Genomic DNA, 23,604 nt, shown 5'->3' with positions numbered 1-23,604 from the left:
CAAGGGAAATTAGGAAATATTTCAAACTGGATGCAAATAAAAATACATCAGAATTTGTGGTTATAGTTGAAGCAGTGCTAAGAGAGATATTTTTAACTTTAATATTTGTATTAGAAAATAAGAAGGATCTAAAATTACTGACTCAAGTTTCTACCCAAAGGGAGTAGAAAAAGAAGAGCAAATTACAGCCAAAACCAATACAACAAGGGAAATAATAAACATTAGAGCAGAAATCAATGAAACAGAACAAACTAAAGAGAAATAACAAATCCAAATGTGATTTTTGGAAATGATTATTAAAGGTGATAAACCCCTCACTAGATTGATGACAAAAATAAGAGAGATCCAAAATTACCAATATCAAGAATGAAACAGGGGTAAGACTAATGATTCCACAGATATTAAAGGATAATAAGTGAATATTATGATTTGTTTTAGGTCATTAACTCAACAACTAAGATCTAATTGGCAAATTTTCTTTAAAAGTAGGGTTACCAAAACTGACTCAATTAAAAAAATAGGTATGCATTTGTTAAAGAAATTGAATTTGTCAGTAAGAACCTCCTTACACAGAGAAAAACAGATGGTTTCACCAGTGGATTCTATGAAACATTTGTAGGAGAAAGAGCACTGATCTCACACAAGCTTTTTCAGAAAACAGGTAGAGGAAACCATTTCTAATTTATGAGGCCAGCATAACACTGATATAAAAACATCACCAAAAAAGAAGAAAATTATAGCTCTATAGCCTGATGAATATGGACAGAATGTTTTTTTAAAATACTATATTATCGATTGGAATTCAGCAGTATATAAAAGGACCATTTATTATGATCAAGTGGGATTTATTCCAGGAACATAAAGTTGGTTAAATGTTTCAGTATGAAAATACGACTTAACCATATTAAAGAATAAAAAGAAAACTCTTAATATTATTTCAACATATGTAGAAACATTTTACTAAATTTCATATACATTTATGATAAAAATTCAAATGATTTAATCCATAATCTGATAAATGCTGTGTTTGGAAAACATACAGTTTGTATCATATTTAATGGTAAAATATTGACTCTAAATTTGGTTGACTCTTACCACTTTTATTTACATTATATTATGTAAGTATAATAAGGCAAGAAAAAATAGAAGGCATACAGATTGGAAAAAAAGATGTAAAACTATTTGAAGATGGCTTGATTCTCTCATCCAAAAACAAGTAACATCCCTCTCACTCCACCAGCACAAACAAAAGATCCTCTCCCTGAATCTAAATGCATTCTTAGTGTCTTCTAGTGGTTTACATCATAGCAGAGACTTTAGAACAAGCTTGTTGAACCTGCGGCCCATGGGCTGCATTCAGCCCAGGACAGCTTTGAATGTGGCGCAGCACAAATTCATAGCCTTTCTTAAAACATTATGAGATTTTTTTTGCAGTTTTTATTTTTATTTTCTTAGCTCATTAGCTATTGTTACTGTATTTTATGTGTGGCCCAAGACAATTCTTCTTCTTCCAATGTGGCCCAGGGAAGCCAAAATATTGGACACCCCTACTTTAGAGTCAGTGAGACTTGGCTTCAGAAGCCTGGTGTTCCTTACAATGGTCTTACAGTTGTACATATTAAGGATTAAAATAGATAATGTGTATAAATATTGATACTATAGCATTTGGCCAAAAGTAAGTGCTCATATAATGACAGCAGTTAAATTATTATCACTATTCAGTCTTCCTTCTCCCCTTCGTGACCATACTACTTTAAAGAATAGAATACTTTATACACATAGTCTTCACAGACCTTTCCTTTACTCCTAAGACATGTATTCCCCGAACACTAACCTTATGAGTAACTATTTGATTATTCTGTCTATTGGACATGTTTTTAATACATCTGTGTTCTAATAGGTGTAATGTATCTCTGACAGTCTTACAGCTTCCAAATTCTAATTTGTTCTTTACTCCTTTATATTGTCTGCCCTCCAAAACCATTTTTCTTTAGAGCATTCTATTTAAAATGTAAAATTTAATTCCCACTACTTTTCTGAAAACACTTTGCCCTTTTCTTTCCCTAGAGGATAAAGATACTGCTCATTAATGTAGCACATCTCTGCCTGACTGCCTGCCTGCTACTTATACAGACTTACCTTTCACCTCTCCCTACATTGCTGAAGAGTGTCATCCTTATATCCCCCCATTGCTCTCCATATTGCAGTAAAGTCAGAACATTTAGGCGCTATTGTAAGTGATTTAATAGTGTATTTTGTCCTGCACTATACTATGAGTCCTTGAGGGCAGGGACCATGCCTTTATTCCTATTTTTATCGTTAGCATTTGGCACAATTACTGATAAGCAGCTGGCACTACAATATTTTTAGTGAATAAGTGAATAGAAGATCATTATCAACCTGAAAGATTTTAATTTATAAGAAAACTTCTTGACTTGGGGAATTAATTTTATGCTTTAGTCTTAAAAATATATCAAACGTTGACTTTTCATTAGTTTCCTTATCATTATTGCATAAAATCTCATTCTTCTATTCAAAACATTGATGACATAGATTTATGTTTTGTGCTACTTTAAATTTTAAGATAGTTAATATCTGATATTAGCAACATCTTATAATGTGTGTTTGTGGGAACCAATAATTACATTGTATATATTTTTATTCCAGAAATGCATAATACATCACAATTTTGCACTAAGCTAACATCTTTTAAAATGCCCGATGTGTGAGAAATGAATGTATTTCTTCTAGAAACAAGCTGCTGAAATCTTCTCAAACTTCTTTAAAATTCTGTTCAGGTTGTTTTAGTTTGAATACAGTTGTTGAATTATTTTTACCTAAAGTTTTACTTGATTTGCTTAGAGTAGCATATCACACCTTACCTTGATTGTATGTGGTCCACATCATTTTATTTCTTACATGAAGAGAGGTTCCATAATCATCAATTGAATTCTTCATGTATAAATAATACAAAAATGCTCAATATACTATTGATATATGTGATTTATAAAGGTTATATTTATTTTTCTACCAAAATAGACATTTTAAAAGGCTTTTTTGTAATCTTTTATGATTATGGTAGAAAAGATTCTTTAAACATAAAATAAAGGATTTATTCATGATAGTATCCAAATATTGCTGGATTAATATTAAGGACATTAAAACATCTTTGCAGATTTAAATTATAAAGCATTATTAGCTTGTATTTTTTGGTTCATCTGTGTTCTCAGGATAAACTAAATTGGATTAAAAATAAAGCTATAATGAAATCTGTTCTATTAATCATCTTTCTAGTTAATAGCCGGTGATTAGAGAAGTTTATACAGTAGTTTCCTAGGTGACTATGAACCCTCCAGTTTTTCTGCAGTTCATTTTATGTATAATTAATAGACATATTTCTTAAACATTCTTTCCTTGGCAATTTTTTTCTTCCTTTTCTATAGTGCATACTTCTCATGTAGTGTTCTCTTTACAGAGGCATTCATTAAATGGCAACTAATTTATTGTATCAGTTATTTTTTATAACTTCATTACTATCCAAATAGTTATTAGCTTTTAATCATGGATTATTTTCTTCTTGAATTGGTTAGAAATTCCTTCTTCATTTTAGGGAATATTGTATTATAGGGAAAAATAAGGATGATTTCAATAAGTTTAATGTGAATTCATTTTTTAGACAGAAATAGCCTTTATTAAAAACCACTGTGTGTTAAATATATTCATTATGTAGCCACTGTTATGTGCTAAATAACATTGCATTTTGGCATACTAAGGGAGGAGATATAACATGGACTTGACTTCATAGGTCCTCAAAGAAGGATGTAGAACAAGGGTGTCGGTGTCAAATAGTGTCTGAAGATTATATTATAATTTCTAATGAGTAACTTGAGTCTGGAAATAAGAAAATACAGATTATTTTTGCTACCAACTTTCTGAGTATGTGTCTTTGGCCAAGCCACTTCACTTGAGCTCAATTTTTTTCATCTATTAAATGAGATTGAATGAAATGTTCTTTTTAATTTTCTGAATTTTCAAATTTCTGGTTCTAGTGAAATATCTCAGTATGTCTGGTTCTCCAAGTTTCTGACTCTAGTGAAAATTTTTAGAAAATGTAAAGCAGTAAACTTTACAGTTGCAAGTAAGTACAATTAATATAATGCAAGCAAAAGATATAAGTATTGACAGAACATAGGACTTCTAGATGTGCATAGAGTTAATTGGAAAGTCTTCAGAACAGATGTGACATATTTTGAAAGCATATCAAGTGAGATAATGAGTAAGTGGAGGGCAGGAGAAGTGTGTTACTAGGATAAAAAAGTATGTATAGGTGGCAGTCAGTTGAAGACCACAGGCAGATTTGATTGACTGAAGTGACGACTTCATGCTGAGGAATACTAGGAAATGAGGCTTTTGAGACTGTGAAGAGTAGAATCGTGTCAATTAGAGAAGTGCCTTGAAAGCCATGCTAAGGAGTTTAGATTTGATGCTTAGTGATGGGCAACCACAGCATGCTTTTGAGCTGGGGAGCCCAAGAGTAAATGTGCCTGAGAAAAATATTCTAGTTGTGTTTAATAAGATGCAATGAGAGTGAAGAGCTTAAATATTTCATGGAGAGATTGGTAAAATTGCACCAGAAAATGGGTTAGCTTTGATAGGAAAAGGCATGGCTTTTAAAAATTAGCTATCATATTTAGGTTAGTTGGATTTTCAGTGAATGTAGTTAAAAGATAGCCTCATGGTCTGAGGGCAAAAATATATAGAATTTATTATCTTGCCCCAGAGTCCCTAATTATTATTCCCTTGCATTTTCTTACATATTGGATATGAAAGTGCAAAGAATGAGAAAGATGGATTATTGAATTTTTGTCAGAACCAAACTTTTAAGAGATATATGACATTTTAAAGCATATTCCAAATTTCATGTATGTATGTAATGGTTGTTACATCATGCATTGTCAGCTTATAGATTATTGCTGTGCATGTTAACTGTTTTGTACTTATATATGTACATATTTCAAACGTATGGGAATTAGGTATATTTAAAAATGAGCCCTCAAAGTCATACAGATAGGAAACTACATTAATGACTCTCCATGGATGTGGTTGACAAAAGTGAATCATTTAAATGACTGTTTTCTTTCCCTCTAGTCTTTTTTAGCACTGGTGAACTTGTTATCCTATCCTGCTATTTATGAGCTTGTAAGGAATCAAGATCTTCCTAATAAAACAGAATATTCTCTTCGTGAAGTCCCAACATGTGTTATTGTAAGTCATTTTCTTTAAATCTTTCTCTGTTATAAATGCTACTATTTGAGATTGGTAGTAAAAAGGTAATTTGACCAAAAAGAGAAAAAAGAAACATTATGTAATGGCATTTAAGGGCTGATTTGATTAATCATGCATGAATTATATCAACTTTTGAATTTTCTATGCGTGGAATCTTTGATCCAGGTCACCTAACATTCCCAAGACCTATCAGAATACAAGGCTAACTCCAACCAGGAAAGATACTTGGCATAAATAGAAGTATACATGTGAGTGATTTTTAGATGACTCATTACATTATTAGTCAAACCAGTGATGCTGCTTCATTGGCTAGGATAATTAGGAATAAATTGTATCCACGGAGTCCACTGCGTTTTCTGCTTATATTTGAATGAACTACATATTATTGCCCCATGAGGGCAGTATATACAAATTTATTTAATTTGAGAACTATGTTGTACTAATATTCACAGATAAGTAACTTGTTTTAATCATTAAGGGATATTTAGTTCCTTAACTTTGGGTACATTTATGAATTAAACACATAGAAACGTGTATATGCATATAAGGATTAATAAAGACTTGATATTGAAATTTTATTATTGATCATTCTTTTTCATTTTCTGGTTGCTTTGTCCTATGTGATATTTTTTTTTCATAAACATAGTTTTGCCCTTTTGAATACCTTTAAACCTGTTAACCCTAAATACTTGGATTTTTAAAAATTTTGTCTACTTTGGGAAACTTTTAATAGCTTATATGACGTGAAATACAAAGATAGGTACTTCTATCATTTAACATTAACTTAGATTCTCTTATCTTCTTTTCGTTGAAGTTTTTCAATTGTATTTTGTGCTTACTTGTATGTTGGCACTTCTTAAGTACAGGTATACCTCAGAATTATTGCGGGTTCAGTTCCATACCACCGCAATAACATGAATATTGCAATAAAGGAAGTCACACAAATTTTTTGTTTTCCCATGTAAAAGTTATGTTTACACTATACTTTAGTCTAAAATGTGCAATAGAATTACGTCTAAAAAAGTTTATTGCTTAATTAAAAATACTTTGTTGCCAAAAAAATGCTAATGAACATCTGAGCCTTCAGTGAGTTGTATTCTGTTTTGCTGGTGGAGAGTCTTACCTCATTGTCGATGGCAGCTGACTGATCAGTGTGTTGGTTGTTGTGGGCTGGGGTGGCTCTGGCAATTTCTGAAAATAAGAGAACAGTGAAGTTCACTGCATCACTTGACACCTTTCGTGAAATATTTCTCTGAAGTATTTGATACTTTTTGATAGCATTTTACCCACAGTAGAACTTCTTTCAGAATTGAGGTCAATCCTCTCAACCCACTCACTGCTTTATCAACTAAGTTTATGTAATATTTTAAGTCCTTTGTTGTTATTTCAACAGTGTTCACAGCATCTTCACCAGGAGTGGATTCCATCTTTGCTCATCCATAAGAAACCACTCAACTCCTCATCTGTTTGATTTTGATCTTAAGATTGCAGCAATTCAGTCACATCTTCAGGCTCCACTTTTAATTCTAGTTTTCTTGCTATTTCCACCATGTCTGTAGTTACTTGTTCTACTGAAGTACTGAACTTCTTTAAGTCATCCATTAGGGTTGGAATCAGCTTCTTCCAAACTCCTGTTAATGTTGATATTTTGGCCTCTTCTCGTGAATCACAGATGTGGCATCTTAATGGTGAATCCTTTCCAGAAGGTTTTCAATTTACTTTGCCCAGATCTGTCAGAGGAATCACTATTTATGGCAGTTATAGCCTTACAAAATATATTTCTTAAATATTTGAAAGTCAAAATTACTCCTTGATTTATGGGCTACAGAATGGATGTTATGTTAGCAGGCACAAAAACAATATTAATCTCCTTAAACATCTCCATCAGAGCTCTTAGGTGACCTGTTGTGTTGTCAGTGAGCAGTAGTATTTTGAAAGGAATCTTTTTACTGAGCAGTAGTTTTCAATGGTAGGCTTAAAATCTGCAGTAAACCCATGCAGTCACATATGTACTGTCATTTACTTTATTTTTCCATTTATATAGCATAGGCAGAGTAGATTTAGCATAATTTTCCAGTGCTCCAGGATTTTTGGAATGGTAAATGAGCATTGGCTTCTGCTTAAAGTCACCATCTGCATTAGCTCTTAAGAAGAGAGTTCGCCTGTCTTTTGATGCTTTGGATCCAGGCACTGACTTCTCCTTTCTAGCTATGAAAATCCTAGACGGTATCTTCTTCCAATATAAGGCTGTTTTGTTTGCATTGAAAATCTCTTGGCCGGGCGTCGTTGTTCATGCCTGTAATCCCAGCACTTTGGGAGGCCGAGGTGGGGAGATCACCTGAGGTCTGGAGTTCGAGAGCAGCCTGGCCAACATGGTGAAACCCCGTGTCTAGTAAAAATACAAAAATTAGCTGGACGTGGTGGCGCATGTCTGTAATCCCAGCTACATGGGAGGATGAGGCAGGAGAATCACTCGAACCTGGGAGGTAGAGGTCGCAGTGAGCCAGGATCATGCCACTACACTCCAGCCTAGGCGATAGAATGAGACTCAATCTCAAAAAAAAAAAAAAAAAAGAAAAAGAAAAATCTCTTTAATGTAGCTAACTTCATCAATTATCTTAGCTAGATCTGGATAACTTGCAACTTCTACATCAGCACTTGCTACTTCATCTTGTACTTTCATGTTATTCAGACAGCTTCTTTCCTTGAATCCCATGAACCAACCTGTTAATTTCAAACTTTTCTTCTGTAGCTTCCTCATTTCTCTCAGCCTTCGTAAAACTAAAGAGAGTTAGAGCCTTCTCTGGATTAGGGTTTGGCTTAAGGGAATGCTGTGGTTGGTTTGATTTTTCTCTTCAAATCACTCAAACTTTCTTCATATCAGTAATAAGTTTGTTTCATTTTGTTATTATTCATGTGTTTCCTGGAGTAACACTTTTAATTTCCTTAAAGAACTTTTTCTTTGCATGCACAACTTGGCTAATTGGCACAAGAGGCCCAGCTTTTGGCCTGTCTCAGTTTTTGACATGCTTTCCTCAACAAGCTTAGTCACTTTTAGGTTTTGATGTACAGTGAGAGACACTCAACTTTTCCTTTTATTTGAACCCTTAGAGGTTTTGTAAGGTTACTAATTGCGCTAATCTTAATATTGTTGTGTCTCAGGTAATAAGGAGGCCCCAGGAGAAAGAGAAAGATAGGTGGATGACCAGTTGGTGGAACAATCAGAACAACATTTATCTGTTAAGTTTGTTGTCTTATCTGGATACAGTTCATGGTGCCCCAAAATAATTAAAATAGTAACATCAAAGATTACCAATCACAGGTCCTCATAACGGAATAATTATGAAAAGTTTGTAATATTGTGACAGTTACCAAAATGTGATGCAGAGACACAAAGTGAACACATGCTGTTAGAAAAATGACCCCAGTAGACTTGTTTGACGTAGCGTTGCTACACATCTTAAATATTCAAAAAAGCATATTATCTGCAAAGTATAATAAGTGACATGCAATAAAACAAGGTATGCCTGTAGTTTTATCGTTAGTCATTTATGTGCCTGTATTTCCCACTACAGTGGGAGTACCTTAGAGAAAGTAGGCTGTCTTAGAGGTATATAAATCTAGCACATTATACGGATCCAGTGAAAATAATTATTCTAATATGATTGGTTTTATTTAGATTATGGGAAACAAGTACAAATTAGTTTTATGATATAGTCCAAAATGATGGCTTCAATGTTTGTTCTCTTAAGTTTTCATGTATCTCTGTGGGGCGTATTCAAATATATCTTTCCACTTACGGAAAAATTTGTTTTCTGTTTGGTCTTAAGACAGTTAACTGCAGTTATATTATTCTGTTTCTCCCAAAGGCATTATATTTTAACCCTGTAGAAAGATCACTGCTTTCTGTCATGATTTAGACATGTATATGAGTTCCTTTTAAAACAAACAACTCTTTTGATCTATGCCTTCTTTTATTTACCACACTGTAGTTTGCTTTCTTCCCCTCCACCCTAAGCTTCCTGGAAAATTTGTCTGTGCTTTAAGTCTCTATGTTTCTTTCTCTTCTGTCAACCATGGAAGCCACCATAATCTGGCATCTTTGCCCAACTACCTAACTTAAATTGTTCTGCCAAAACCCAATAAATATGTAATTCCCTAATGTAATGGAACCTCCCTGTATTAGTTTGTCATGCTGCTAATAAAGACATACTTGAGACTGGATAACGTAAAAGGAAAGAGGTTTAGTTGACTCACAGTTCAGCATGGCTGGGGAGACTCAGGAAACTTACAATCATGGTGGAAGGGGAAGAAAACACATCCTTCATCACATGGCAGCAGGCAAGAGAAGTGCTGAGCAAAGGGGGAAAAATCCCTTATAAAACCATCATATCTCATGATAACTCACTATCATGAAAACAGCATGGGGGTAACTGCCCCCATGATTCAATTACCACCATGTCTCTTCCATGACATATGGTGTATTAGTCAGCGTTCTTTAGAGGGACAGAACTAATAGGATATATCTCTCTATGTATCTATATATATATCTATATATCAAGGGGAGAAAGATGTAGGCTGAGAGGCTAGGCCAGTCTAGTCTTTTCACATTTTTCTGCCTGCTTTATATTCTAGGCACACAGACAGCTGATTAGAGGGTGCCTACCCAGATTAAGGGTGGGTCTGCCTTTCCCAGCCCACTGACTCAAATGTTAATCTCCTTTGGCAACACCCTCACAGACACACCCAGGATCAAAACTTTGCATCCTTCAATCCAATCAAGTTGACACTCAGTGTTAACCGTCACATGTGGGGATTATGGGAACTACAGTTCAAGGTGAGATTTGGGTGGGGACACAACCAAATCATGTCACATCCCCACCTCCTTTAGCTTAATTTACCACTTTGGAATATTTGACATGGTTTGTCCACTCCTTAGTGTAATTCTTTGTTTCTATGGCTGTGGCATTATTTACTTCTTGTTCTCTTCCTTCTTTTCTGGTCTCTCCTGCATAGTTGTCTTTGTAGACTTCTTTTGCTTTGTTTGTCCTATGGCCTCCAGAGTGATCTCATCCAATTCAGTGGCTTCAGTTACACACTGACAACTCTTTGAGCTATATGACTTGACTGCCAGTTTTATATTTAGAACCCTACCAGACAATGGGCATCTGGAACAATCACAGGCATCTTAGTCTTACTGTGTACAACTGAATGTAATGTTTTCTCCTTCCCAAATCAATTCTGTTTCCTGTTTTTCTCAGTGTATGGTACTATTAGCCACACAATTTAATGAACCAGAAACCTGGAAATCATTATGATTCTTCCCTTTCTATAGGCAACAAATTACCACCTGATAGAATTTGCCTCCCTAACACCTTGATCTTGTTTTCTTTTTGTATTCTTTTTTTTAAAAACTCTTATTTTAGCTTCAGTGGTACATGTGTAGGATTGTTATATAGGTAAACTCATGTTACAGAGATTTGTTGTACAGATTATTTCATCACCCAGGTACTAAGCCTTGTACCTAATAGTTATCTTTTCTGTTCCTCTCCCTTCTCCACCTCCTACCCTCTAATAGGCCCCAGTGTCTGTTGTTCCCCTCTTTGTGTCCATGAGTTCTCATCATTTAGCTCCCACTTATACCTGAGAACATGTGGTATTTGATTTTCTGTTTGTGTATTAGATTGTCTCCAGCTCCATCCATGTTGCCATGAAAGACATGATCTTGTTCTTCTTAAATGCTGCATAGTATTCTATGGTATATATGTCCACATTTTCTTTATTCAATTTGTCATTGATGGGCATTTAGGTTGATTCCATGTCTCACCTTATCCATGTTCTCTCTGGATAAGATTATGACACAAAGCCGGAGAGTTGATATACTTCTGAGGTAGGACAGAAAAGGTATATTGCTGGCCTTGCCAGCTGAAGGCAAATTGCTTCTGGTGGGCCTTATGGACAGGAACGGAGATAAAGGCATTTGCCAAGTCAGTGGCTGCATACCAGGAGATGTGTTAATTTACTCAAGCAATGAAACCACATCTGGTACAGCAGCTGCAGTTTGAGTCACCACTTGGTTAAGCTTAGGATAATCCAGTAGCATTCTTGAAGATCCATCTGTCTTCTGCACAGGCCAAATGGGAGAGTTGAATGGGGCTGTGTTAGGAATCCTCATCCCTGCATCTTTCAAGTCCTTGATGGTGGCACTAATCTTTGCAGTTTCTCCAGGGATGCAATACTATTTTTGATTTAGTGTTTTTCTAGGTAGAGGCAGCTGTAATGGCTTCTATTTTATCTTTCCCAACATAATAGCCCTCACCTTAGCAGTCAGAGAGCCTATGTGGGGGTTCTGCCACAATTTCAGCTCTTTCTCTGCAGGAGATAAAACTCTCAATCAGGGCAATTTTAGCAGATTTGAGGCTCAGTATCTTCTTCTGAAGCCAGGAGACAGAATCTCTGAGTTCATCATTTTCTTTCATCACTTTGTTCACTGAACTTAGAAGCAACCAACCAGCTTCATTATGTTCCTTGGTTTTCCACATATGGTCAAATGTATTACATATAGAGTCACTAAATTCCTTGCCTCTCATGAGCAGTGAATCAGGAGTGTCAAATGCATTTATTTTGCATAACTCTCTAAACAGTTCACGCCAATGACTATCAGTGTTCTCCATACTTTTAGAAATAGAGTCCTCCAGAAACCCCAAAACCAATGAAAGAATTCCAACCTTAATATTCTCTTCCTCTAGAACTACTCCTGGTACCAAAATCTGTATTAGTCAGGGATCCCTAGAGAGCAGAGCTAATACGATAGACATAAATATACCTATAGAGGGGAGTATATTAAATATTAACTTACACAATCAGAAGGCACAATAGGCTGCCTTCAAGCTTGAGGAGCAAGGAGAGCCAGTTTGAGTCTCAAAACTAAAGAACTTGGAGTCTGATATCTGAGGGAAGGAAGCATTCATCACGGGAGAAAGATGTAGGCTGGGAGGCTATGCCAGTCTTGTCTTTTCATGTTTTTCTGCCTGCTTTATATTTGCTGGCAGCTGATTTGATGGTTCCCATCAGATTAACAGTGGGTCTGCCTTCCCCAGCCCACTGACTCAAATGTTAATTTCCTTTGGCAGCATCCTCACAGACACACCCAGGATCAATACTTCGCATCCTTCAATTCAACAAGTTGACACTCAGTATTAACCATCACACCCAGTAATGGGATTGCTGGGTTGAATGGTAGTTCTATTTATCGCTGTTTGGGGACAATTGCTACAATGCTTTCCACAATGGTTGAACTAATTTATACTCTCAGCAATAGTGCATAAGTGTTCTCTTTTCTCCACAATTTCACCATCATCTGTTACTCTTTTACTTTTTTGATAATAGCCATTCTGACTGGTGTGAGATGGCATCTTATTTTGGTTTTGATTTGCATGTCTCTAATGATCAGTAATATTGTGCTTTTTTCGTATGCTTCTTGGCCACATATATGTCTTCTTTTGAAAAGTGCCTGTTCATGTCCTTTGCCCACCTTTTAATGGGATTTTTTTTTTGCAAATTTCTTTAAGTTTCTTATAGATGCTGGATATTAGATACTTGTCAGATGCATAGTTTGTAAATATTTTCTCTCATACTATAGGTTGTCTGTTTAATGTGTTGATACTTATGCTGTGAGGAAGCACTTAAAGTTAATTAGATCCCATTTGTGAATTTTTGCTCTTGTCGCAATTGGTTTTGGCGTCTTTGTCATGAAATTGATGGCAGTGGTGGCCCATCTGGAGCAGTGGCTGCCATGATGCCAGCTTCATTGTGGAAGACAAGGCTGGGCCTGCATGCCCCATGATGCTGGTGGGAGTCCCACCCTCCCAGGCACAGCTGCAGGCACTCAGCTGCCTGTGGGTAGATAGTGGTGGATCCCTGGTGAAGCCCCACCTTCAAGCCATGGTTGGCCTGAAGTATGAGGGCCGAGCTGCCAATTCTGCAGACTGGAGTGAGGACTTACAGTGCTTTTTCCGAGCCTGACTGTGGTTGCCCATGGACCAATCAGCATGCACTTTGTTCCCTCTGAAGCCCATAAAAGCCCCAGACTCAGCCAGACTTGGGCAGATGTTGGGACACCCTGACTGTGGAGAGGAGCTATGCCTGTGCATCTCCTCTCTGCTGAGAGCTGAGCAGACATCAGGATGACCTGCCTGTGGAGAGGAGATATACATTGTGGGTCTTCTCTCAGCTGAGTGCTGAGCAGACATGCAGGCTGGTGCCTGCAGAAAGTCTTTACCCACTTCTGGTCTCCTGAGAGCTGTATTGTTGCTCAGTAAAGCACCTCTTTGCTTTGCTCACCCTCCAGTTGTCTACATACCTCATTCTTCCTGGATGTGGGACAAGAGCTTGGAACCCACCAAATGGGAGGACTGAAAGAGCAGTAACACAAACAGGACCGAAACATGCCTCCTGCTCATGCTCACCCTGTTGTGGGCAATGAGAAGGAGAGAAGAGAGAAAGAGAGAAGAGCTTTAGCCCTTCATGTAGCCCAGATCTAGGAGATCCTTGATCCATGGCTGTGACACCCTCTTTGGGGCTCTGTGGTTCCTGGCATCTCCAGGATTTTGGGCCCTGCTGTGTTCCCTGGTGCCCGTAGTAGAAGCTGCTTGCTTTATGCCTTGTCTAGGTGCAGCCTCACAGGGAGCTGGCACCCATGCCAGTGCCTGCAGCTGCCCACCCTGCTGCAGCTGGCCTGCCTGGTTTTGAGCAGTGGCTGGACCCCATGCTCATTCACTCACACACATAACCCTCACCACTTCATGTCTGGCTCATCCTGGGCAGGCATGGGATCTGGGTTGGTAGCATGAGCTGAGCACAGCTTGCCAGGCCGAATGGGTGGAATGAGCCCAGTGGGCCTGAGCAAAATTCAGGCAAAGGTGCCACAGGCCACACAGGTTTCCAGCTGGTGAATCAACACTCCAAGCATCCAAAGGCAAAATCTTTGGCTGTTTGTATGTTGGAATGGTATTGCCTATACTGTCTTTCAGGGTTTTTATAGTTTTGGGTTTTACATTTAAGTCTTTAATCCATCTTGAGCTAATTTTTGTATATGATATAAGGAAAAGGGGTCCAGTTTCAATTTTCTGCTTATGGCTAGCCAGTTATCTCAGCACGTTTATCAAACAGGGAGTTCTTTCCTCATTGCTTGTTTTTGTCAACTTTGTTGATGATCAGATAGTTGTAAGTGTGCAGTCTTATTGCTGGGCTTTCTATTCTTTTCCATTGGTTTGTGTGTCTATTTTTGTACCAATATTATACTATTTTGATTACTATAGTCCTTCCAAGTCAGGTAACATGATGCCTCCAGCTTTGTTCTTTTTGCTTAGGATTGCCTTGGCTATTCAGGCTCTTTTTTGGTTTCATATGAATTTTCAAATAGTTTTTTTCTAGTTCTGTGAAGGATGTCATTGTTAGTTTGATAGGAATATCGTTGAATCTATAAATTGCTTTGGGCAGTATGCCCATCGTAATGATATTGATTCTATCCATAAGCATCGAATGTGTTTCCATTTGTTTGTATCATCTCTGAGTTCTTTAAGCCATGTTTTGTAATTCTCATTGTAGAGTTCTTTCATCTTCCTGGTTTGCTGTATTCCTAGGTATTTTATTTTATTTTATTTTATTTTATTTTATTTTATTTTATTTATTTTATTTTATTTTATTTTATTTTATTTTATTTTATTTTATTTTATTTTATTTTATTATTATTTTTGTGGCAGTTGTGAATAGGATTGAATTCCTGATTTGGCTCTTGACTTGGCTATTGTTGGAGTATAGGAATGCTAGTGATTTTTGTGCATTGATTTTGTATCCTGAATCTTTTCTGAAGTTGTTTATCAGCTGAAGGAGCTTTTGGACCAAGACTGTGGGGTTCTCTAGATATAGAATCATGCCGTCTGCAAACAGGGATAGTTTGGCTTCCTGTCTTCCTATTTGGATGACCTTTATTTGTTTCTCTTACCTGATTGCTGTGGCCAAGACTTCCAATACTATGTTGAATAGAGATGGTGAGAGAGGACATCCTTGTCTTGTGCCAGTTTTCAAGGAAAATGTTTCCTGCTTTTGCCTGAATGGTATGATGTTGGCTGTGGGTTTGTCATAGAAGGTTCTTATTATTTTGAGATATGTTCCTTCAATATCTAGTTTATTGAGAGTTTTTAACACGAAGGATGTTGAAGTTTATTGAAAGCCTTTTCTGCATCTATTGAGATAATCATTTGGTTTTTGTCTTTAGTCCTGTTTATGTGATGGATTATGTTTATTGATTTGCATATGTTGAACCAACCTTGCATCCAAAGGGTAAAGCCTACCTGATGGTGGTGGATTAGTTTTTTGATGTGCTGCTGTATTTTGTTTGCAAGTATTTTGTTGAGGATTTTTGCATCAAGTTCATCAAAGATATTGGCCTGGGCTGGGTGCGGTGGCTCACACCTGTAATCCCAGTATTTTGGGGGCCCGAGGCAGGTGGATCACCTGAGGTCTGAGGTCAGGAGTTTGAGACCAGCCTGCCCAACGTGGTGAAACCCTGTCTCTACTAAAAATACAAAACTAGCCAGGTGTGGTGGCACATGCCTGTAATCCCAGCTACCCAGGATGCTGAGGCAGGAGAATTGCTTGAACCTGGGAGGCAGAGATTGCAGTGAGCTGAGATTGTGCCACTACACTCCAGCCTGGGAAACAAGAGGGAAACTCCATCTCAAAAAAAAAAAAAAAAAAAAAGAGATATTGACCTGAAGTTTTTTTTGTTGTGTCTCTGCCAGGTTTTGTTATCAGAATGATGCTGGCCTCATAGAATGAGTTAGGTAAGTTAGGTAGGAGTCCTTCTCTGCAGTTTTTTGGAATAATTTTATTAGGAATGATACCAGCTCTTATTTGTACATCTGGTAGAATTCAGCTGTGAATCCACCTGGTCCTGGGCTTTTTTTGGTTGGTAGGCTATTTATTGCTGATTCAATTTCGGAGCTTGTTATTGGCCTTTTCTGGGAATCACTTTGTTCCTGGTTCAGTCTTGGGGGGGCATATGTGTCCAGGAATTTATCCATTTCTTCTAGGTTTTCTAGGTTGTTTGCATAGAGATGTTCATAGTAGTCTTTGATTGTTATTTGTATTTCTGTTAGGTCAGTAACTACGTCCCTTTTGTCGTGTGTGTGTGTGTGTGTGTGTGTGTGTGTGTGTTGTGTTTGTTCATTCATTTATTTATTCAGCAGATACACAGGGAGTGCCTGCCATTTGCTCGGCACTGTGGTCGAGGAACTGTGTGTGCAGTGTTGAGTGGAGCACATACTATCCTTGCTCTGTGACACTCACAGTTTGGCTCAGGTCCAGAGAGGAAGAGTAGGGGGCTCCAGGGTGTGGTCAAGGTTCCACTGGGACAGTGGTGTTCCCCAAACCAGTGAGGGGTGTAGTCTTTCCAGCGGGTCTTCCACAGCATTTTACTTGTATGGGGCTGGGTAATCACCGAGTGGATAAAGAAAATGTGGTATATAGGTACCATGTAATACTACTCAGCCATAATAAAGGAATGAAATAATGGCATTCACAGCAACCTGGATGGAATTGGAGACGATTACTCAAAGTTAAGTAACACTGGAATGGAAAACCAAACATCATATGTTCTCACCCAGATATGGGATCTTAGCTATGAGGACGCAAAGGCATAAGAATGATACAGTGGACTTGGGGGACTCAATGGGAAAGGATAGGAGAGGGGTGAGGGATAAAAGACTACACACTGTGTACAGTGTACACTGCTTGGGTGATGGGTTCATTAGAATCTCAGAAGTCACCAGGGATTTCATTTCCCTGGTAAATGAAAGTGACGTTTATTTTTGTTGGAATAAATACAACTGTTTAGAAATTTTAAAAAATCCATATTTTCTTTCCCTCTAGATGTAAGTGAAATATAGCCTGCTATACTCACCTGCCCTTTGCATTTTTCTGTTACTTATCTTGGAGATGACTCTATAGCAGTATACAGAGCTCTTTCTTATCCTTTCCTCGCCGCCCCCTCCCTCCGCCCCGCCCACAGTTGCATAATAGTCCATTATGTGGATGTGCTAGAGTTTATCCAGTCTTTTACTGGTGGACACTTGGGTTCTTTCAAGTCTTTTATTATTATAAATGATTCCAAAATTAATAGCCTTGGCTTATATTGTACTTGCCAGTGTGTCTATATTTTTTTTATTGTCGTATAACAAATTCTTACAAATCCAGTGGATTAAAACAACACCCGTTTATTAACTCACAGTTTTGTAGGTCAGAAGTTCAGTATGGTGTGCCTGAATTTTCTGTGGCTGTTAGCTAGGGACTTCTTTGTAGTTTCTGGAGGCTACTCTCGGGTCTTTGTCCTGTTGTCCTTTTGCATTTCAGAATTGGAGAACTTCCCTTATACCATATTTCTCTCATTCTTTGAATCTCTCTGACCTTTTGTGACCAGTTAGACAAAATTCCACTTTTAAATTGCTTGTTTGATTAGGTCAAGCCCACCCCCATAATCTCCTATCTTTAAGTCAACTTATTAAGGATTTTAGTTACATCTGCAAAAATTCCTTCACAGCAGTGCTTGCATTTGTGTTTGAGGCCTGAGAATCTTGAGGGCCATTTTCGAATTCTGCCTACCACAGTATCTTCAGGCTAGATTTCTAGAAGCATGATTACTGGGTTGAAAGGTAAATTCACGTGTAATATATTCCAGTATATGGTTCTTGTTGCTAGATTTCCATTCACAGAGAATAATCCTTTTGCATTCCCGTCAGTAAGATATTATAGTGCCTGTTTCCTGGTAGGCTGATTAAGAAGATTATGTGTTCAAAAATTTAGATATTTGTCTGACAAGTGAAAAATGTTAATTTATGTATTTTTTCATCTGAACAGAACATCCTTTTCTATGCTTAATAGCCATTGACATTTACTTATCCATTAATGGTCTTTTCATTCATTTTTGCCTGTTTTTCTATTTGTGTAGTTCTTTTTCTTCTAAATTTTAAGAGATTCTTTAGCTTTTAGGGATATTAGGTCTTAACTTTTCATGGCTTCATGTCAGGTATCTACCAAAATTCTAACGCCTGTGAACAACTCTCAAGTTGTACTTTATTAAATTAAAGGTGAATGATACAAAATACCCTTTTCCTTTAATATACACAATTTTTTAATTGCTTTCAGTTTCTATGACTTACCATCCAGCTCTACGATAATGATGTGTAAACATGGTATTGTATTAGGTAGAAAGATGCAAATTGAATTAGTTTAGGCAAAATGGGACATTTTTTGATTTATATAACTAACTTTCAGAAAAAGCACGGACAACTGGAAACAGGACTGCAAGTGCTGTCAGGTCTACATCTGTCTCTCTGTTTCTGTCCTCCTATGCCCTCCACCTTTGCTTATTATTGCATTTCATGTTGACTTTGTTGAAAGGCAAGCACAGGGTAATAATGGTTAAGAGTTTGAATTCTGAAGCCAGACTGCCTGCATTAGTTTCCTGGTTCTGCCTCTTACTAGTTGTGTGACCCTGAACAAGTTAGACCTCAGTTTTTTCTTGTTGCAAGAGTGCCTTATGCTAAATGAAATAAGCCAGACACAGGAAGGACAAATACCACATAATACCACTTGTATGATGAATCTAAAATAGTTAAACCCGTGGAAGTAGAGAGTGGAATGGTGGTGGCTAGGGATGGGAAAGGGGGAAAGCAGGCAAGTATTGGTCAAAGTGTATGAAGTTTTGGTTATACAAGATGATTAAATCCTAAAGATCTACTGTACAACATAGTGCCTATAGTTAGCAATACAGTATTATATACTTAAAAACTTGCTAAGGGGGCAGATCTCATGCTAAATGTTCTTATCTCTCACACACACTAATCAATAAGGCAGGAGGAAACTTTGGGAGGTGATAGATGGGCTTATGGCATAGATTGTGGTTATGGTTTCACAGGTGTATACATATCTCCAAACTTATCAAATTTATACAGTATTAGTATAGCTTATTTATGTCAATTATACCTCAATGAAGTGAGTTTTTTTTTTTTTTAAGAAGAGCTGTAATATTTTCATCTCAGGGTTGTTGTGAAGACTAAATGCTTTTAGATCACTACCTGGCAGATAATAAGTGATATATAAATATTTGCTATAATTATTCTCTTCTTCTCTAGATGGTATTCTCCATAGGAGAGGATTCCATAGTCCTCCATTCCCCATAGGAGGGGCTACCTGTTATTCTATGGGGATATCTTCACCCTCTCCCCTTTTATTAATTTCCTAGGTCTGTCGTAACACATTACCACAAACCGGGTAACTGGGTGGCTTTAAATCACAAAAATTTATTCTTTCCCAATTCTGAAGGCCAGAAGTTTGAAAACAAGGTGCCAGCAGGGCCATGCTTCCTCCCAAGGCTCCAGGGAAGAATCCTTTGGTTTAATTTCTGTTTTTTTTTTTTTTTTTTCCAGGTGTTTCGTGTCTTGTTGCTACATAAATCCAGTTTGTGCCTCTATCTTTACATGTCTATTTTTTCTTCTCTGTCTTAAATCTCCCTCTGTTTTTCTGTTATAAGGACACTTGTCTTAGATTAAAGGTCTACTTTGGTAATCCAGGATGATATGGTTTGGCTGTGTCCCTACCCAGATCTCGTCTTGAATTATAGTTTCCGTAATCCCCATGTGTCATGGGAGGGGCTTGACAGGAGGTAACTGAATTATGGGGTGATTTCCCCCATGCTGTTCTCATGATAGCAACTGACTTCTCATAAGATTTTATAAGGAGCTTTTCCCCACTTTGCTCCACACTTCTCCTTCCTGCTGCCATGTGAAGAAGGATGTGTTTGCTTTCCCCTCCACCATGATTGCAAGTTTCCTGAGGTCTCCCCAGCCATGTTGAACTGTGAGTTAATTAAACCTCCTTTTTTTTTAAATAAATTACCCAGTCTCAGGTATGTCTTTATTAACAGCGTGAGAATGGGCTAATACATACCTCAAGACTCTTAACCTCTGCAATGACTCTTTTTCTGAATAGGGTGACATTTACAGGTTCTGGGGATTAGGCCTTGGACATATCTTTTTTTTTTTTTGGTGTGTGTGTGAGGGGTCACCATTTAACTCTCTAAAACCCCAAACAGGAGAGCAGCCTTTTCCTCTACTTTTCCATGTTGAAAAATCCCAAGGAAGGAGTTTGATTAGCTTAGTTTTATTCATAGGCTAACCAATCATAAGCCACTTCTAGAAGTGGAAGTGCGGAACTATTGGGACATTACATTTGACCTGTCCTCACCCTTCACTTGCCTATTTCTTCAAAAAAACAAGTCAGTCACATAGCCCAAACCTAGCTATTGGGGCAGTTGTAAACAGTAGGCACTCAAACATATCTTTATATAGAACTGATATTCCTTTTTGTTTTTCCAGTATGGCCTCAGTCTGACCTAGTAGGTTATTGAAAATATTCTCAAGCTGGACAGTATCTTTTAAAAATATACAGAATTTCTGTCTACTTTTTGTAAGTCCTGGGTCTTCTTGCACTAGTTTGTTGCTGGGAAGCTGCTTCTTGATTTAGGAAGCTGATTCCCTTATTGACACATGTTATGGTGTTTAGAAACTGAAGCTCTCCATGAGGCTTCCCAGGAGTTTTGTTTTTTTCACTAAGTGGTGATACATCAATGTAATCTTCTTCTTTGAAAAAATTATTTGCCATAACATTTGTTCTTTGAAAATGCATTCTCATTGATAGATTACTGTAATCTACTCTTCCATTAGCTTGTTGGTAATACAGTCTATCATTTTTATTATAACAGTACCTAGTACTTAGATTCAGAACTAGAATCTCAGTTACAAGATGTCAGTGGCTATCAAATAGTTTGAGCTCTGCATTATATTCAAATAGCCCTGCAAATTTCAGTCACCTATACGAATTCCCTACTATTGAAGAAATATTTATTATAATACTTTTAGAAACTACTATGCATAGAACTAATTGGCAACCTCTCTCACCTCAGGTACAAGAAGTATAATGATTCCTAATCAATTCTGGATTGTTCTGTGAAGATTAACAGTGGTTAAAAATAGTGATAATAGGTCATTTCTCTAAAATTACAATAATTATTAAGTAATAAAACATTTACCTATTTGTAGAATAGGTAGATAGTAAACAAGTTTCATCACTATGTCCAGGGCAAAGACTATTTATTTAATAGTATTCAGATGCTGGAGCAAGTCATAGCAATCTCTGTGGCTCTGTCATGTAGCTAATTCAGGAAAAAGTAGAGAGGTTAAAGGAGATAGAAAGAGTTGTGATGCAATTAATGAGAGTGACTGTGCAGCTGGGAATATGAATATGAGTTGTTTAGCTCACATTCTATTGTAATGTTTGAAGCAAGTAGTGCCCAGCAAAGTAGTAGATAACAGCAACAATTCATTTAAAAATAATAGTCTTTTTATTCATCATTACTAGGTAGTCTATTAATATTTACCAATTTAAACTCTCATGCTAGTATTATTTACACACTTCTACAAAATAATCTATAGAATGGTAAATATATTCTTATATGTTGGGTACAAATTTTTACTAGGTAGCTCTACCCACAGTCCAGTTGTTGTATTAATATTGATCAGTATCTGATTAGTGTTTTTCAAGTGTGATTTTGAAATATCTATTATTTTCTTTTTACAAACTCATTCCTTTGCCTCTTTTTTTAATTTGATGAAATAGTCTTTGTACCATAAGCCACAAATTCCTCAATAAATATTATGTGACTTTACTCCCTAGCAAAACCTTTCTTCTTTTGCCCTATTGGTAACAGAAATATCCTGAATTTAAACTCACTGGAGAGTAGCAAGTTTCTTGGTCAGGAAAATGAGCAATGAGAGAGATATATATTTGTCTATAAATAAATTTCTTAGGCCTGAACCCAAAGATATATGTAAAAGCAGGGCATTGTAGAAAGAAAGCCTTCCTTTTTTTTTTTTTTTTCTTTTCTGAGACAGAGTCTTGCTTTGTCACCTAGGCTGGAGTGCAGTGGCATGATCTTGGCTCACTGCAACCTCCGCCTCCTGGATTCAAGCAATTCTCCTGCCTCAGCCTCCCGAGTAGCTGGGATTACAGGCACCCATCACCACACCTGGCTAATTTTTGTATTTTTACTAGAGACGGTGTTTCACCATGTTGGCCAGGCTGGTCTCGAACTCCTGACCTTGTGGTCTGCCCACCTCGGCCTCCCAAAGTGCTGGGATTACAGGCATGAGCGACCACACCTGGCCAAGAAAGCCTTTTAAAACATGTTCAAAATTGTGTGGTTGGCTAAAATTGTCAGTGCTAGGACAGCTGCTGGCACCTAGATCATCAGGTTCTGTGTATATTTGCATCAGTGGTTTTGAAGACTTGGCTACACACTGGAACATCACAGGGAGCTTTTAAAAGAGTATTGATGCCAGATTCCCACCCCTAGACATAGTGATTTAATTGGCCTGGGGTTGAGCCTGGGCACCTGTGTATCTTTCTTAAGTTCCCTACGTGAGTCTAATGTTCAACCAGGGTTGGAAACCACTGATTTACATGAGGCAGATAGTCTCTATTGAGAAAATCTAGTTACTAGTTACAACATTTTGATCCGTTGTTCATTCTTCTAATTTGTGGATTTTATATTTGTTTTTCAAAGTAGTTTACATTTTTGGCAATTTTATCAGTATTTAACTGATGGTATAAGGTGCTCACTAGTGCCAGAGTAGGGTCAAAATCAGTGTTTTCCACTTTGGCTGAATACTGGATTCACTTCGGAAACTTTTACAGTCCTAATGTAAATCTAGGCCACACTCAGACCAGTTAATTCAGAAACTTTGAGGGTTAGGACCCAGGCATTATACTATTATTCTTCTTCTTCTTCTTCTTCTTATTATTTACAGCTCCCCAGGTGATTTCCTTGTAAAGGCAAATTTGAGAGCCACAAATCTAAATAAATTGTTGTTGACTTAATTTTCTTTAAATGATATCAGTTAAATACAGTCTCATTTTGTCTGTCTTTTTCAGGATATTATTGATAGACTTATAATTTTGAATTCTGAAGCTAAGATTCGTTCTTTATTCAACTATGAACAATCACATATCTTTGGTCTAAGGTAAAATGCTACATTTTACTTTTGATATTATATTTTATGTTCCACAAAAAATAAGCATTTGTCCTGTATACTTTAAAAAAGTATTTAAAATTAGCTAATATTTAAAAGCATGCTTAAAGGTAATTTGTCTTCCTGTAACATTATAAACAAAGTAAATTAAGGCAATTAGATATGTGTA

At 36.9% G+C, this 23,604-nt stretch overlaps 1 protein-coding gene across 23 annotated transcripts in view; it reads left to right on the top strand.

The window, feature by feature from the left end:
* Nucleotides 1–23,604, top strand: part of TBC1D32 (TBC1 domain family member 32) — a 255,236-nt gene that overhangs the window by 106,229 nt on the left and 125,403 nt on the right. For 20 of the 23 annotated variants that reach the window (XM_047418311.1, NM_001367759.1, XM_011535570.2 and 17 more), the window contains 2 exons: nt 5,149–5,265; nt 23,338–23,426. In XM_047418311.1, the coding sequence (XP_047274267.1) occupies nt 5,149–5,265; nt 23,338–23,426 (206 nt within the window). Of the gene's footprint in view, nt 1–4,049; nt 4,139–5,148; nt 5,266–23,337; nt 23,427–23,604 lie in introns of those variants that run through there. The other 3 variants (NR_104452.2, XR_942346.3, XM_047418318.1) reach the window with 3 other exon arrangements.

The sequence above is a fragment of the Homo sapiens genome, chromosome 6, assembly GCF_000001405.40.
Source record: "Homo sapiens chromosome 6, GRCh38.p14 Primary Assembly".
NCBI classification, from domain to species: domain Eukaryota; kingdom Metazoa; phylum Chordata; class Mammalia; order Primates; family Hominidae; genus Homo; species Homo sapiens.
The sequence above is the reverse complement of the archived record's forward strand: the minus strand, read 5'-3'. Positions and strand labels throughout refer to the sequence as shown.